The 16897-nt window shown below is 43.5% G+C and overlaps 1 annotated feature.

Moving 5' to 3' along the window:
- Positions 11973 to 13214: an enhancer, noted in NCBI's record as "VISTA enhancer hs76". NCBI's record gives its function as "enhancer in: neural tube[3/6] | midbrain (mesencephalon)[3/6]" and the evidence as "EXISTENCE:transgenic organism evidence [ECO:0001131][PMID:17130149]".

Below are 16897 nucleotides of genomic sequence, written 5' to 3' on the forward strand. Positions count from 1 at the left end.
TTTGGGAGGATGTGCAGACTGTGCCTGTGAACTTGCCTGGCATGTGGTAAGTGACAATACATGTTTACTGCTATGACTATTATTTCAGTTGCCCACTGGGCTCAGCCTCAGCTTCCACGGGGTGGAGAGCTGGGGTTCTGGTTGGGGGCAGGGGCTCAGGCTTACCTCCCAGAGGGACTCCAGGGGCCTTGGTCCAGGCAGCAGCTCTCTCCGGATTAGCGCTGGGAGTGCTTTGCCTCCTGAGAAACGCAGGCTGTGATGGAGCTGGGAAGGTGCCCCAGCTAACATGAGGAAGACGATGCCGGGGGCAGCTAACACCAGGAGAATCAATAAACTATAATTATCAAGAATTGTGTCTGTGTGGGGTGGGGAGTCATGGGGACAGAGGGAAACAGAGGAGGGGGTGGGACAATGCCAGAGAGAAGAAACAGTGAGAACAACACACACACACACACACACACACACACACTGAACAGATGCAGAAAAAGTGTGCAAGCATGAAAAGAGAACAGAAGTGTGTGCTGTGCTCAGCCCTCCTGTCCTGTCCCCTCAGGGTAGGTCTGCCTTTCTGGACAAGACAGAGGGAGTAAGAGCCAGACCTCTATTAGCTCTTTACATTCCCCAAGTCCTTGCCCACATCAGTCCTTTAACTCTTGGATGCAAGGAATAAATGTTCTCATGTCTGCTTACAATGTCTAATATATTAACTTAGTTATGTTCAGAAATTAGAACGATATCTACTTTTTATATTGAGTGTAGTCTGTTGGGCTAGAAATAGTATTTCAACATTACCAGTGCCTTCATCATCCCTGGATTGAAAGCTACTTTTCAGGCCCACTGCTCCTTCAGGGTTTCTTTTTTTTTTATTTTTAAAATATGTTTTTTAGAGATAGGGTCTCACTCTGTCACCCAGGCTGGAGTGCAATGGCACGATCACGGCTCACTGCAACCTGGAACCCCCAGGGAATAAGGGATCCCCCTGCTTTGATGAGTGAGTAGCTGGGATTACAGGCACACACCACCAGGTCTGGCTATTTTCTTTCTTTATTTTAAAAAAAATTTTAGAGATAGGATCCCAATATGTTGCCCAGTCTGGTTTCAAACTCCTGGGCTCAAGAGATCTTCCCACCTTGGCCTCCCTCCCAAAGCACAGCGATTACAGGGGTGAGCCACGGTGCCCCATGCTCCTGTGGTTTTGGATAGAGTACTCTTGGAACCCGTTATGAGGCTGTCACCTGGACGTAAAGGCCAAGCCCCACAAACCCACTGGCTATTCATGAGCTCTATCAAGTTACCACTTACTGTTTTTTTCTAAAAAAGACTTGACTTTTGAGAGCAGTTTTAGGTTCACAGCAAAATTGAGAGGAAGGTACAGAGATTTTCCAGACATAACCTGGCCTCCCATATAACCTTATTGCTTTCAAAAGCCATCTTTTAAAATTTTCTTTTCTCTGATCCTCCAACACTTGCCATTTTGAGGTCTCACCCCTAGAAGGGATTATTACATCTGGTGCTTGTTTTATTGGCTTTCCTTCCCCCTGATTTGATCTGGGAGACTTCACAAGCACAGGAACAGGCATTGATGGAGGTCGTTGAACATGGGTGGGGTTGACTTTTCTCCTGAAGGTATCAAAGAGACCATCAGAGGAGGAAGGCTTTTGTGACACTCAGATATGGTGAGTCCCTGTTTTTGAAGGGTAGTGTTTTGGAAAATGAGCATATATGCAAACAAACTTGTGTTACCTTTGGGCTTTATTGTGTGCCGGGTCACTAGCCACTAGACTGTGTGTGTGTGTGTGTGTGTGTGTGTGTGTGTGTGTGTGTGTGTGTGTGTTTAATCAGCATTATCTCAGTTAGGCAGTCTAATCTCAGTAGTATTCACAGGAAGGATTTCTACCTCCTTCGTAGTATAGAGCTGCTGGCCAGGAGGTGTCCCTCCCTGTCACAGTCACAGAACTTGCAGGTGGCTGAGCCTCCCAGGTGCCCAGGTAGTCCATCAGCACTGCCTTTCCCCTGTGAGGAAACTGAGGCCCTGGCAGTATAACTCTCAAGGCATCCCAGGCTCACTATAGCAATGACCAGCCTAGGTTAGATCAGGTCCCCTGACTCTCAGCCTCTCTGATAGCCCATGGGGAGAAGTTGGTGAGGACAAGATGAGACAATGTATCCTGCCTGGGAGGGGTTCTCCTGGGGCAGCTTTCTCACACATGCCCTTTGCCTCCTGCCCTCTGCCTTGAAGTATGCACACTCTCCTTGTCTAGCCCTGGGTGGCACACTTTACAAGGAGCCTAGCCTCCTGGCCCTTGGCTGGGGAATCACATAGCTTCCCATGTTCCTGGGAGGCCCAGGGTGGGAGACAGAGGCCAGGTCCTAGTACTGGACCAGCCAGGACTTCTCTGTCTGTGCCTGCTACCCCACATCCTATCTATCTGCCTCCTTTCTCCTGCCAGCGACAACCACAAAGCTCCCTCTTGCCTGGAAAAATCTCCCTCTTGCCGGGAAGCAGAAAGAAGATTCTTCGGTGTGCCCACTCAGCTGGGTCAGTGACGTCCCCTCGGTGAGAAAGTTCTTCCTGGGTTTGGGCACAGTTTGCTCTGCCCACAGGTGGGCAGATGCTCCTAAGCCCTTCACCTTGTGCTGGACAGCGGGCAGGCTCCACTGCACAGGGCGGGGTTTGGGTTTCTTTCTCATCACTGAGCCCAGCCTCCATTTTTTTTTTTTTTTTTTTTAAGGAGGATGTGATTTCTACTTTGTTTCTCTTTTTTTGTTACTTCAAATTGACATCCTGACCTTGGGCAGAGTATAGCAGGGAGCTTCCTTTTATTCTTATCTTTTTGTTTTGTGTTTTTGTTGTAAACTGTCTAAAACTGTTGGAGAGTTTAATTTGGAAACAATGAAGCCAGATACCACAACACAAGTTTACCCTCAAGACTCTGAGCTCTTAAAATGCGTAAGAAGGTCAGTTTTCTCCCCCTTTCTAAACTCATTGCAAATTTATGTTTAGTAACTTTTTTTCCTAGTTTGATAAGATATCATTAGAGAAAGGATGGTTCAAAAAAGAAGTGGTCTGAGATGGGAGGATCGCTTGAGCCCAGGAATTGGAGGCTGCAGTGAGCTATGATAGCGCCACTGCACACCAGCCTGGATGACAGAATGAGATATCGTCTCTTAAAAAAGAAAAAAGAAGAAGTGGCATGTGCTTTTTCCACTTTGATTAAAAGAAAAAGTATGGAATGGTGTCTGCTAAGAAGCATGCTTCCTGCTTGGCCAATGCTGCCGGTTATTTTTATTTGCAAGTGTCAGAGCTGGGTTTCTCTACTTTCTTCCATTTCAGACCTACTTCATGCTCATTCTTATATGGCATTCAAAAATACAAATGTGAAACTTTATAAAAGACTCGAAGGTGTGTTTCATTTTAATCAGTTTTTCTTGAAATTGAAGGGAAATTTAGTCGCGTTAAGTGGAATAAATTTTTCTTGCACATTCAGCCTGTTGGTGTCTATTTTACTTGGGAGAAAGGGCTATCTGCATAGCCCCCAACAGGGGAATCATTTTCATTAGACATTTTCTTACTTGCTTTAGATTAAAGGGGAGAAGTCTCGAAGCTCTAGAGGAATAAAAATGTAGGTGGGGTGGGTGGGGGAGCAGGGAGAAACGATGCAAGTAATTACCTCAATGTTTTTTTCCAACCTAGATTTTCCCCTCTTCTTTTGTAGGCCCACACCAGGCATATTGGACCTTGCCCATCTACACCTCAGCCCCACAGAGCAAGGTCAGACGCCCACTGGTTTGGACTCCCATAGGTGGATGGGGTGGTGGTGTTGAGGCGGAAAGGAATTAGGGAGAAGAGCAGAGCAGTTTCCATAAGCAGAATTTGGGGCTGAGCTTAAGCCACCGCAGCAAGGGGAAGATGAGCCTGGTGGTTCCAGACATGTTTTTTTCCCGAATACTGAGTTAAAACTTTCTATATCAGTGAAATCTAACACTCTGGACACCTTATTAAATTGTTGTGTAAAACTATGGCGATGGGTTCTGTGAATTAAAAAAAAAAATTAAAGTACTTGTTTTCTTAAAAAATAATAGTAATTTTTTTGAGACAGAGTCTCTTTCTATCACCCAGGCTGGAGCGCAGTGATGCAATCTCAGTTCACTGCAACCTCCGCCTCCCGGGTTTAAGCGATTCTTGTGCCTCAGCCTCCCAAGTAGCTGGGATTACAGGTGCCCATCACCATGCTTGGCTAATTTTTTTGTATTTTTAATAGAGACGGGATTTCACCATGTCGACCAGGCTGGTCTCAAACTCCTGACCTCAGGTGATTCATCCACCTCAGCCTCCCAAAGTGCTGGAATTACAGGCTTGAGTCACCATGCCTGGCCAAAATAATAATAATAATAATTATAATAATAATAATAATAATAATTATTATTATTATTATTATTTGATGTAAGCCTTTAGTGGGGCCAGGCAGGAAAGACATAGAAGAAGACATACTGTAGCTACTGCCAAAAGTTATTTTGCAAACTGTGGTTTTCTGATTGAATTGCTTATTTTTTTCCCACCTCTTTTTACTACGTTACTCTCTTTTCCATATTGAAATATGCATATTAGAACAACTTTGCTTTCTATTTGGTACTTTTTCTCCTACCTCAAGAGTTTGAATCTCTGCTTAAATGCTCAGAAATGGACATTTTTGCACCCATGTGGCCATGCTCATGCACTTCTTGCTGGGCGATCCTGTAGTCACTGTTCTTTTGTGACTTCCCTGAAAGACCCCACTGTGGTTTGTCCCCTCAAGGTTGCATCCGGGTGGCCCTGACACAAGCTAAAGATTTCAGGCTCGTTCCAAGTTCCAAAAATGTCTCCATCTCAAGGCACCCTGGGTTTCTCACTGTCCTCTTTATTAACATGGACAAAACGCCCTGCTTTGTGGGCTGATTTATGGTTGCATTAGGGAAAACTCCACGGAGGGTATAAAATACAGTGTCCCACGAAAGGGCCTAATCTTACATGTTATCAGTGATTGCAAGTGCATTTTATAACACTGGTGCCAAATCGAAATCAAGGTGATTTGCGCATCAATCTCCCGGATAAAATCAGGGCACGCTCTATTGCAGTTTGACCTTCGTGGTGCCTTTGGCTGGTCCAACTTGTTTAAGTCCCTGGGACAATTACCCAGGGATAGTTGGAAAATGCAGTGATACTGGCCAGAGCTGGATTACCAGCTGTATCAGAAGGCTTAACCGTTCATGCCAGAGACTCCTGAGAACCAGAGGAACAACCCCCAGAGGAGGCTCTGATGGCTTCTAAGAAGCGCTGGTGCTGCGGGCAGAGAAAGGGGAGAACCTAGGGGCCATTTTCATGTGTGTTTAGATGTACCCCGAACTCTATAGCAAATCTAAGAAGCAAAACTTTCAGTTTTACAACAAGCTGGCAGATAACTGGGTCTCAAAAAGCCTGTGTGGGCTTTCCCTGCCTTATTTATCATTCCAAGAGCTCAACTAACTGTGGGTCAGGGAAGTATTTAAGCTTCTAAAACAAATAATAGAGCAAGGATGAGAATGAAGTCAGTGGGAGATGTTTTATTTCTACCACCACCAACTAACTGTGGGTCAGGGAGATACTTAAGTTTCTAAAACAAATAGTAGAGCAAGGATAAGAATGGAGTCAGTGGGAGCCATTTCATTCCTTCTACCACCAACAGTTGGTTCCCCTTATTGATTTTCATAGAAGAAGATCAGAGACTTCCTGAAAAATCTGATAGATTCCCTTGGTAAAGCTCAAATCATAACCCCAAATTTTGATTGATGCCCTCACAAGAGCCTAGGAGGGCTAAAGATATTTTGAGGAGATTCATGGAAATTGTAGATTTTTAGAACCTAAAGGCTCTTTAGTGATGGTCAGAGGGTATATTTAGGATAAATATTTTTAAATCAGGGTTTTATGCCTATAATCTGAGTTTCTCAACTTATATTTAGCCCAGACTTCTTTTTAAAGTAATTCCATCTCTTTTGAATCTGGACCTTTTCATAGCCCAAAGGGGGAACCTTAGATGGCTCTTCAAATGGTGAATGCTGTTTTAGAAAAACCCTTTGAGATATGCTAATGGATATGGGATGATTATTAAGATAAATACCTTGTGTTGGAAACTATAGTTAATTATAATATATATAATTAGTCACTGGTCAGGCTAGAAGTTATAATTTATTGCTCCTTAATTTGCATTTATTATCAAAGATATTTAATTTAAAGGAATTATAAAAAATAGCCTGATTTGAGTGGTTATGGAGATGGTGGGCATTTAGCAAACTTCAAAACTCTCCTTTCAAATTTTTCTAAACCCATCATATACAATTTCAGGAAATAACACACCAACAAGAGGAGATGACTTATGCTTGTTGATTAAAAAATGAGAAAGCCATTTCTGTAAGAAGAAATGATGTAATTTTCTCTTCCAGACCCTCATTTTTGGAACAGTAGGTAAACTTTTATTGTAAGAGGGTCCAAGTTCAAGTAATAGAATTATGAAGCTTTTGTGATGAAGTTGGTGATGAAGTTCTTTTGTGTCTTTTCATGGGGGAAAACAATAAAATAAAATATTAGATTCTTTTCCTTTTAGATAATAATTTCTCTTCGACAGTGAAAAAGAAGCCCCTTTCAGTGAAAAAGTCGTTAGTCACAGATACAGCTTTTGTATAAAAGGAGATCCTGGTTTTTTTTATATAAAGCTCCACTGCTTTCAAACATGGTTCCTGCACTCTCTTTTATGATTCTTGCTCTGTCACAGCCCTGGGTCCCTTCAGCCACACAAGAATGACTTTCTTGCATCCTTGTGTCTCTGAATTAATGTCTGCTAAAGAGGAGCACTTTGGTGCTGTGTGAGAAGCAGCCTTGGTCGTCTTGCCTCCTACGAATCCTCTTTTTAATAAATGCAGCCACTGTTTGACCTGCAGTGATCTGCAATATATCCGCAGGGGAAGCAGCACCACCAGAACGTCAGAATCTTCCTTCTTGAGTTGAAGGGATCATCTTAGGGATGTCTTCATCTAAAATGTCTTAGGGAGACATCTGTGAGAATGCACTGTTGAAATTTCTGTGTCTTCAGATCAAGGTCATCCTGGAGCCATTTTAGCATTATTTTAGAACTCACTGAATATAGAGATCAGATTGTCACTCTCTCCATTCCCATTTCTTCCAGGATCGGAAATGGGGGTATTAGGTGTTACAGTTTTGTTAAGAAAGACGGAAGGATACTCAGATTGGGTGGGGCTTGAACTGTGCTTCCTTCAGAGAGAAGCTCTGTTCTCTTATTGAATGAGAAGTTGGGGGGTGAAGATGGGGAGAACCTTTGAGAACAAGACCTCAAACCTCCCTCGTGAGTGGGTCCTAGTGTGCTCCCGTTGAGTGACGGACAAAGCCGAGTCCTGAGAACATGAAGCCCATGGGACACCTCCTGGTTATTCTGCAGATGGCTCCTTGGCTTCTCCTCCTCTCAGAAGCCCTGTGTCCTTCAGTGTACCAGCAGTGGCATGCATGCAATAAGAGGGTGCATTGATTGTGGAATATTTAAGGTCAGAATACCATCTAAAAGTGTCTTCTGTTTTATTTTCACCATAAGCTAGCAGTTCCAATGTCAGCACTCAGGTACTCGTTTGCTGGTACAGAGGATGCTTCAGTCATGCACACTTGAGCTGTGTATGGGGGCTAACACTGGGACCTGGTCCAGATCCCCTTTGCTGGGTCAGGAGTTAGAACACCTACTCTTTGGCTGCTGAGTGTTGGCTGCCAATGGCTCAGAGCTATCATCTTCTTGGCAGAGTTAGACTCATCCTTACCCGAGCAGCCCACAGCCAGTGAATGGCTGATCCTGTCCCTAAGGAGCAACTTACCTCTCAGAGGCCCCACCTCCCTCAGGCTAAGCTTAACATCACTCAAGACCACAGCCATGCTCAGCTTCTTCCCCATCTCTCCCCTGCTTCTTTCCCTCCCTGGATCACACCTCAACAATTTCTGTGCATTCAGAGTTCTATGTCAAGCCGTGCTTCTACAGAACCTTCTTTAACATGGCTAAAGTAGTATTCAGAGAACAATTTATAGCCTTAAATAGGTTTATCAAAACCTAAGACTGAAAATACATGAACCAAACATTCAACTCAAGAAGTTAGGAAAAAAATAATACCACCAATTGCAACTACACCACACACACACACACACACACACACACACAACCCTGCACACACACAGAGAAAGAAAGGATTTTTTGCCTGAATTGTATCATAGAAGAATCTTATGATAGTGGGATGCATTAGTGCCGGGAAATTTTCTGAAAGTGGTCAACAGTTGACACACTATTCAGTAATCAATAATTGTAATTATATACTCCCCTTATGTAGAGTATGAAGCTTTCTGTAGGCTATAGCCATTCTATAACAGCAAATCATGTTTTATCTGAGTGATCCTTGTAAAAAGAAGAAGAAGATGGAGGAAAACTTGTGGGGAGAGTTGATAGGCAGGTCCTGGAGGGAGCAGAGGGCTCATTCCGGCCTGTGACCACATGAAGAAGTCATTTGACTTCCAGGCAGTAATGCTCTAAGTGGCAAGAAAGCTTGGGCTCTGGTTTTCCCCAGGCCCACCTGAGATTCAAAAAATGTCCATATGTCCAATTTCTTCCTTTTTACCTATGGATGCAAGATGTGATCCCAATACTACTTCGACTTTTCAGGTTTGTTCGATGGCATCTATGAGTCTGTAGAATGCTCCTTGAAGATGTTGGAATTATTTTCTCAAGAACTCTGTTTAAAAGCCATGCCCAGCCTCTGGGAGGCAGGATAACATGCATTTTGTGGACCAAAAAGCCTGGGTTTAATCCAGACTACCATCATTTACTTCCTGTGCAATATTGGGCAAGAGACTAAGCCCGATGCCACCCTCACTCTGTTAAGAAGAAGAACTGGTGTTTAAACCCAAGACATCTATTTTAGATTCCCCACTCTTCACCACTATCCTGAGCAAAGGGCCAATGGATCTAAATTATTTGGGTAGCACAGTCACTGGCTGCTCATAACATAACAGCAATGAAGATGATTATCTTTTGATGAGATTATGAAGTTGATGGTGATGATGATGGCAGTAGGTTACACATATAGATAACAGAGGGTAATAGACCAACCAAAATTCCACAGATTCTTCCCCTAAGGCTCCTTCTGATGAAACCCACCCCACCCCCCCACAACATTAGGGTTTTGGAATGAGCACTGTTCTTGGCATCAGAACACCATATCCTGCTGAGATGCTAACTTTAGGTAAGTTTATTTGCCTGAGCCTTGGTGTTCTCATCAGTAAAATGGGCAGAAATGCTAGGATTACACGAAAAGAGATCCTGAGTAAAAGTGCCGGGGTGTAGATGCCCAGCAGATGTCTGGTAGGTTAGAAGAAGGCCATGTCTTGGGAGGGTGTTTCTGGAGGGAAGCAACGCATGGCACTTCTACCACTAACTTGAGCACCTCCAAGGAGTAGGTGAGACAGGCTTGCAAGAATTATTGGACCCTTTAGGCACAGAGGTGTTGGCTTTTTGAGGAGGACTTTCTGCTTCCCTGACTCTGCAGTAGCTGCTCCTCTGCACCCATGGGTTTTCTTCTCTTTCTGGGTCCTGTTTTCACACTTTGGTCTCATTCACCTGAAAGTAAGCTCCCCAAGAAAATGCTGTTGAGAATAGGGATTTTAATCTGTAAAATTTATTGCTGCACTCCCAGCACCTAGAATAGTAGCTAGCATACACTAGATAATACACTAGATAAATATTTTTGAGAAAAATGAATCTTATTCAGAGCCAGGACCAAATGTGGCAGGAACAAGCACTCTACTAGGAGTCCAGAGGCCGTAGAGTGTGTCCTTTCCCTGCTCTGCCGCTCTGGACAAATCTATAAAATTCATCCATCTGGTATGTCAATAATATTAGATCTACCTTGCAGGTAATGGGATCATGTCAGTTGAATCTTACTGGATCTTTGAAGTTTAAGGGCAATGAAACTGATTTGAAAAGGACAATTCCAGGAAGTTTAACTGGTCCTAGAATTTATAGTAGGTAATATTTCTAGAAAATATGCTACAAATATTCTCTCTTAGAAATTTAAAAACATCTTTCCAAATTAACTTTTGGGTTAAGCAGTCAAAACTGAAATAAGAAACCATTTAGAAATGAATGGCACCACATGCCAGAAATTATGGGATGTGGCTAAAGTAGTATTCAGAGAGCAATTTATAGCCTTAAATGCTAAGGCTCCTTCTGATGAAACCCACCCCACCCCCCACAATGTTAGGTTCTTGGAATGAGCACTGTTCTTGGCATCAGAACACCATATCCTGCTGAGATGCTAACTTTAGGTGAGTGTATTTGCCTGAACCTTGGTGTACTCATCTGTAAAATGGGCAGAAATACTAGGATTACATGAAAAGAGATCCTGGGTAAAAGTGCTCGGGTGGTAGATGCCCAGCAGATGCCTGGTGGGTTAGAAGAAGGCCATGTGTTGGGAAGGTGTCTCTGGAGGGAAGCAGTGAATGGCACTTCTACCACTAACTTGAGCACCACCAAGGTGCTTATTAAAAGATAAGACTGAGAACACACAAACCAAACCATTCAACTTGAGAAATTGGAAAACAAAGAATACCACCACCACCACCAACACACACACATGCACACACACATTAAGGAAGAAAAAGATTTTATCATAGAAGAATCTTATGATAGTGGGATGCATTTGTACCAGGGCATTTTTTTTAAAGGAGTCACCAATTGATAAATTTTCCACTAATCGATCATTGTAATTATATACTGCCCTTATACAGAGTATGAAGTTTTCTATAGGCTACAGCCAATCACGTTTTGTTTTATTGGGGTCATCCTCAGAAAAGTGTCAATCAAAGCAGATGGAGAGGAAGGATTGTGGGGGAACTGACAGGCAGGTCCTGGAGGGAGCAGAGGGCTCATTCAGCCCTTGACCATGTGGAGAAGCATCTTGCTGCATGATGTGATTTGTAGAATATGGCAGTGGCATTGACGAGGACCTGGAGCCCTGAGTGAAATAGGCAGAGTCCTATGGGGATGGGGACCCTAAGCCACCAGCCAGCATTTCCGGGGCTGAGGGAGGTCCAGGGGAACAGTGTGCTGGCTTTCTTTTCTGGTTCCATTTAATAATTAGTCTGATGACAAATCAGGAGACCAGAGTCTGGCCTCCCTGAGCACATCCTCCAGGCTGGATGTTGGTGATGGAAGACCCCTGGGAAGTCCTCTCTGGGCTCCCTCACTGGAGCAAGGAAGGCCTCAAATGCCCCCTTCTTTATGGAGGTGCTGACTCTGGGCTCCTGCTCAGAACAGCAGCCTAGAGAATAGGGTCAAACACTCTCCTTCTGTTTGCTCCATGCTGGTCTGGAGGTCTGGACAGTGTCTGCTCCCTCCTTCTGCCGAGAAGAAGCCAGGAACCAGGAAGATTTCAAAGCCAAAGTCTTCAAGCCATTTGTGGGGCCGCTGGACCATGCGTGCCCTTGATTGGGGTCAAGAGCCCCTGAGATATCTCAGTGTCTCCCCTTGACTGGTGAATGCCTCGAACTGGACACATTGCAGGGAGGTTGAAATCTTCAGACTTCTGTGCTCCATGAAGTCCCCACCAACTTATTTAGTCATCTGAAGCCTTGTTTTATTTGTTTATGTTTCTTAAAAAGTCTGTGAAATGGATACAACCGATAGTGCCTATATCTCATAGGCTGTGGTAGAAAATTATGTAAAGTGTTTAGATTAATGCCTGGTTTATGCTAAAACAAACTAAATGGTAACTGTATGTATCACCCTTTTGTGCCCTTTTCTCATTGGAAAACAGAACAAACACTAACCATCAAATCCTACTTCAGAAGGGAGGTTAAATATATAAGCTTCAGCTATATGAAATTGTCAATATTTGATCATTTTGACCTATAAAACAGCAATTTCATGTGGGTCAACCTGATAAAATGTGGTATGGTGATTCATATCTATAGAGACTTATATCCAATTATAAATATAAATTGCTATTTTATTTCCCCATCGCTTCTAGTTCCACAGTGAAAGCAAACTTCAGAAAAATGACACAACTGGAACTATAGCTTTTTTTTTCTCTCTTTGTTTCATTTTATGCTCTCCCCAACATTCCACCCCCAAGTTCCCATAATAATATCTCACAGAGATTTGTAGGGGCAAGCTCTGTTAATCAGAAATATCCCAAAGAAGAGGGTAGATTTGTTATTTCTGTGTTAAATTGTTAATTGATTTGATAATTGCCTGGGAGACACATACAGACATACACATACACAAAACAAATGTCAGGCCACACACTTTTCTCTCGACAGTAAGATGAAGATGTTTTAGTTATTGGAACTCGATGTCACCTAGAATAAGAGGAGGTACCGGGAAAAAAAGAGGGGAGTGGAGCCGGCGTGGTGGGGGGAGGCAGGCGATCCCTCTTGGTTATCAAATGAAATGACTCCCCAAATATGACAATAAATCACTGCAGGAATCAATCAGACAGGAGGCCACTGCTCCATGCTGATAATGCATCAATCAATATTTAATGTTTACACTTTAATTAATCCACACATGGGAAGCATTCTTTCAGTGACAAAAATAAAAGGATGAGAAATAAAACACCTTTTATATCAAGGAGTGGTGAGTGCACTGTCTACTGGGTGGCTTTGATTGGAGCTGTCATTGATCACCTTGAGCTCACCAGCCTCCGAGTCACATTTGGATATAAAGCTAATGTAGGGGGTGGGGGCAGAGGTTTCAGCATCCCGCCTTCGAAGAGTGCAGCTTGCTGGGAACTGCTGTGGAGCATGGATTCCTGTGAAGGAAGAACAAAGCCAGGGCAAATATTGGATTCTGAACGCCAGTGACATCTTCTCCCCAGAAAAGATTTCTGTCCACAGATGGTGATCTATAACTCTGAGGGAGGCAGTTTCAGCCAGAAAGACATTTTCTCATGTGTTTTCAAGAGTCCAGTGTGTAGTCTTGGACACAGGGATTCCAGTCTGAACCACAGGACTGTTTTATAACACTCATAGCCCATCAGCCTGCCTTTTTCATGCTCTGCCCGGCCTGCTATCAATGATAGCATCCTAAAATACCCACCCCTCGCATTAATTATAATTCATATATAGCTGCTCACGAATCATTTCATCTGTGGTTGACAAGTTGGCCTCATACTACATTTTGTAGACATTTAATCCAACATATGGTACACATGGTTTTGCAGGTTCCCTGGGGTTTTTTATTTATTTATTTATTTATTTATTTATTTATTTATTTATTTATTCTGCCTGTGTCTTTTGTTTGGGGTCTCAAACCATTTCTTGGGCCCTTGAAAAGCTCACAGGCTGTGTGTGGTGTGACTACAGTTTTTAATGGAGAAGATGTCTTGGTTGATAATGCTGGATTTTGACCCTCAAAACCCACCGAGTTCCTTTTTGGAACATAGCAGTGAGGTGAAGATTTGATGTGTTAAAAATGCAGGAGTCTTGGTTTGGGTTCCTCCAGAAGCAGATCCTAAGATAAGAATTTGAGAGCAAATGGTTTGTAAGTGAGATAGGGAAGGAAAGGCAGTCACATAAACAGGGAGTTGTCATGGGGGGAAAAGGGGTTCAGTTGCACTGACAACTTGCGCAGTGGGAATAGAACCTGTTTCAGAGTTCGAGTCATGGAGAGTGAGGAAGGTGGTATTTATTCACCAACTCCTTGTCTGCTGTTGGTTCAGGACTGCTTCCAAGGTAGTAAACGGCCACCGCTCCCTACTTCCAAGGCCAGAAAGAGCCCCCAGACAGAGTCAGGTCTTCCTTCCAAGCAGCATGCAGCTTGTAGAGTTGAATGGTGAAGGGATATGGGCACACACCCACTGGGGCTGCCACACCTGGACAGGTAAAATAACTGACATGGATTCTGCCTATAAAGAGTAAAGAAAATAAAATTCCAAATAGCTTTTTTTTTGTCGTTTTTTAGAGATACAGTCTGTCGTCCAGGCTGGAGTGCAGTGGCTCAATCATGGCTCACTGCAGCCTTGAATTCCTGGTTCAAGAGATCCTCCCACCTCAGCCTCCCGAGTAGTGTGCACTACCATGCTTGGCTAATTTAATTTTTTTTTTGGTAGTGATGGGATCTCAGCATGTTGCCCCTGGGTAGTCTGGAACTCCTGGCCACAAGCAATCCTACCACCTTGGCCTTCCAAAGTGCTGAAATTGCAGGTGTGAGCCATTGTGCCCAGACTACAAATAGTTTTTTCAGTTACTCTTATCCATCTTCTCAGTGAGTCCAACCCTGAGAGAATTTCCTTTAGTGTGGGAAGAGGGAGCATACTCTTTCAGTTGAGCACTAGGTGAAGTAGTTGAGGGGTCCTGTGTGTGTGCATGCTCACTTGTGTGTGTGTAAAATATGAAGTCACACTCACTGGAGCAAGACACACTGTGGGAGGCACAGAGACACTGAGGCCAATAGAGGGGACAGAAGATTAATGAATCTCATCTCACACTACTTCTGGGGCACATGTTCTAATATTTCCCTTTTTCTCCCTTTTCTCTCTCTGTCTCTATCTCTACTGAGTTTGATTAGCTAGATTTGAACGAAGTAAACTCATATGATGCAACTCTTCTGTATGTATTTACAAACTCTACTCCCTAATACAAGAATCACACTGCACCCCATCTGCCCCACCTGAATGAGCATAGAATACCAATGATTATTGTGTAGAATGCATACTACAGTTATTCAATGCAGACTGTATTGATTTAATTTTTTCCTCTCTTACATTTAAACTACATGCTGCCTCTACAAGCTCTCTTGCAATTTTTTAAATTTATTTCCACTGAGGCTGGCCACAGTGGCTTGCACTAGTAACATCAGCACTTTGGGAGGCCAAGGTAAGAGGATTTCTTGAGCCCAGGAGTTTGAGACCAGCCTGGACAACATAGTGAGACCCCTGACTCCACAAAAAATAAAAAAAAAATCAGGTTGGTGTGGTGGTGTGTGCCTGTAGTCCCAGCTACTCGAAAGGCTGTGGTAGGAAGATTGCTTGAGTCTGGGAGTTCTAGGCTGCAGTGAGCTGTGATTTCACCACTGCACTCCAGCCTGAGCAATAGAGTGAGATTCTGTCTTTTAAAAAAATGATAACAAACAAATAAATAAATTTCCACTGTCTCTGTCATTGACCTTAACAAATTTCTAATTGGTTGAGTAGAATTTAATTTTGTTTTTTGAGAAAAAGTTTCGCTCTTGTTGCCCAGGCTGGAGTGCAATGGCATGATCTTGGCTTACTGCAACCTCCGCCTCCCTGGTTCAAGCGATTCTCCTGCCTCAGCCCCCCGAAAAGCTGGGATTACAGGCATGCGCCACCATACCTGTCTAATTTTGTATTTTTGGTAGAGACAGGGTTTCTCCATGTTGGTCAGGCTGGTCTCTAACTCCTGACCTCAGGTGATCTACCTGCCTCGGCCTCCCAAAGTGCTGGAATTACAGGCATGAGCCACCACACCCAGCCAGAATTTAAATTTTTCAACGCTCCTGTTACAGGAAGCTGGTCCAATCTGTGTCACTCTGAGTTTTAAAGACTGTTACTAGATTGTTTGTTTGCAAATAATAGAGACTGGGCTTCACTAATGTAAGCAAAACACAAAAATTGTGGGAGTGGTACTTGCAGCACTCAGAGCATCTCTGGTGAACATGGTAAGCCAGGAAGTCTTGGTCTGTCTTTCTCAAAAGCAGCCAGCACATGGCCACACTCCAAACACCTTCCCTGTGCATATCTACTTAAGAATCAAACTCCTAGGAAACACTGCTTGGCCTTGGTTAGATTCTGTTCTCACCATCCCTGTGACCAAGACTGAGTGAGAAGTCTTAAGTCCCAAAGGAAAGGTGCCTGCCGCAATCTTGTTTCTTGTACCATTTTGTGTAAGGGGCGTCTTTTAATTGGACACAGATGCCCCCTTTTCTCTCCTCCAGTATTTCTTCCTGATTTTGAAATTAGCATATGCATACTCACAGTGATCTTTAAAAGCTCATGGAAGAAAAAGACATGCAAAAGAGCAAGAGCACAGCAAGGAAATTGCAATGTTACTGAGCATTTACTGTAAGTCAGGCCCTTTATATTTATATCCCGAAAGTCTTATTGTAGAAATTCTTGTTTTTCTAGTAAATTTCTTGAGCTCCTGCATCCCCTAGAGCCAAGATATCTAATATTTCCCTCTTGAGAATTCATTCTTTAAATTGTTCAAGAACCTCTTTGGGACGACTTTGACCCAGTTGTTTTTAATCAGGGACAATCCCCGCCAACCTCCTGGGATATCTGACAATGTCTAGAGCCATTTTTGGTGGCTGTGGGTTTGGAAGGTACTCCTGACATCTACAGGTAGATGCTTCCACACATTTTACAATGCACATGGCAGCCTCTCACAGCCCCAGATGCACTCAGTGTCAAAGTTGAGAAACCCTGCTTTTACCCAAGAGGGTCAGCTCTAGTCCAAACACCAAGCAAGGACAGACATGAGTTCTCAGTATCATGCTGCTATTTCTTATCCCCACCACATGGAGTCACTGTTGAAGATGACTGCAGTGCAGTGTGGTAACTGTTCATTCTGACAAGATCTCTGCTGGTCCACAATGATGCCCCATATTGGCTCTTTTACATTCATATGTTCATATGTTTTATCTCAGATCCAACCACTGAGCCAAGGAGGCTGGACCCAAGATGTTTCTACTTTAGCCGCAGAGAGATATGTGCAAAAGGAAATGGCCTTGAACTCTAGGGTTTAGATGCTCTCCTACCCTGAGCTATGCCTCCTAATGAAGAATTAACCCTGCAGACAGATGTGTAACACAGGATCATTGTT

Source organism: Homo sapiens, chromosome 16, assembly GCF_000001405.40.
Source record: "Homo sapiens chromosome 16, GRCh38.p14 Primary Assembly".
NCBI lineage: Eukaryota > Metazoa > Chordata > Mammalia > Primates > Hominidae > Homo > Homo sapiens.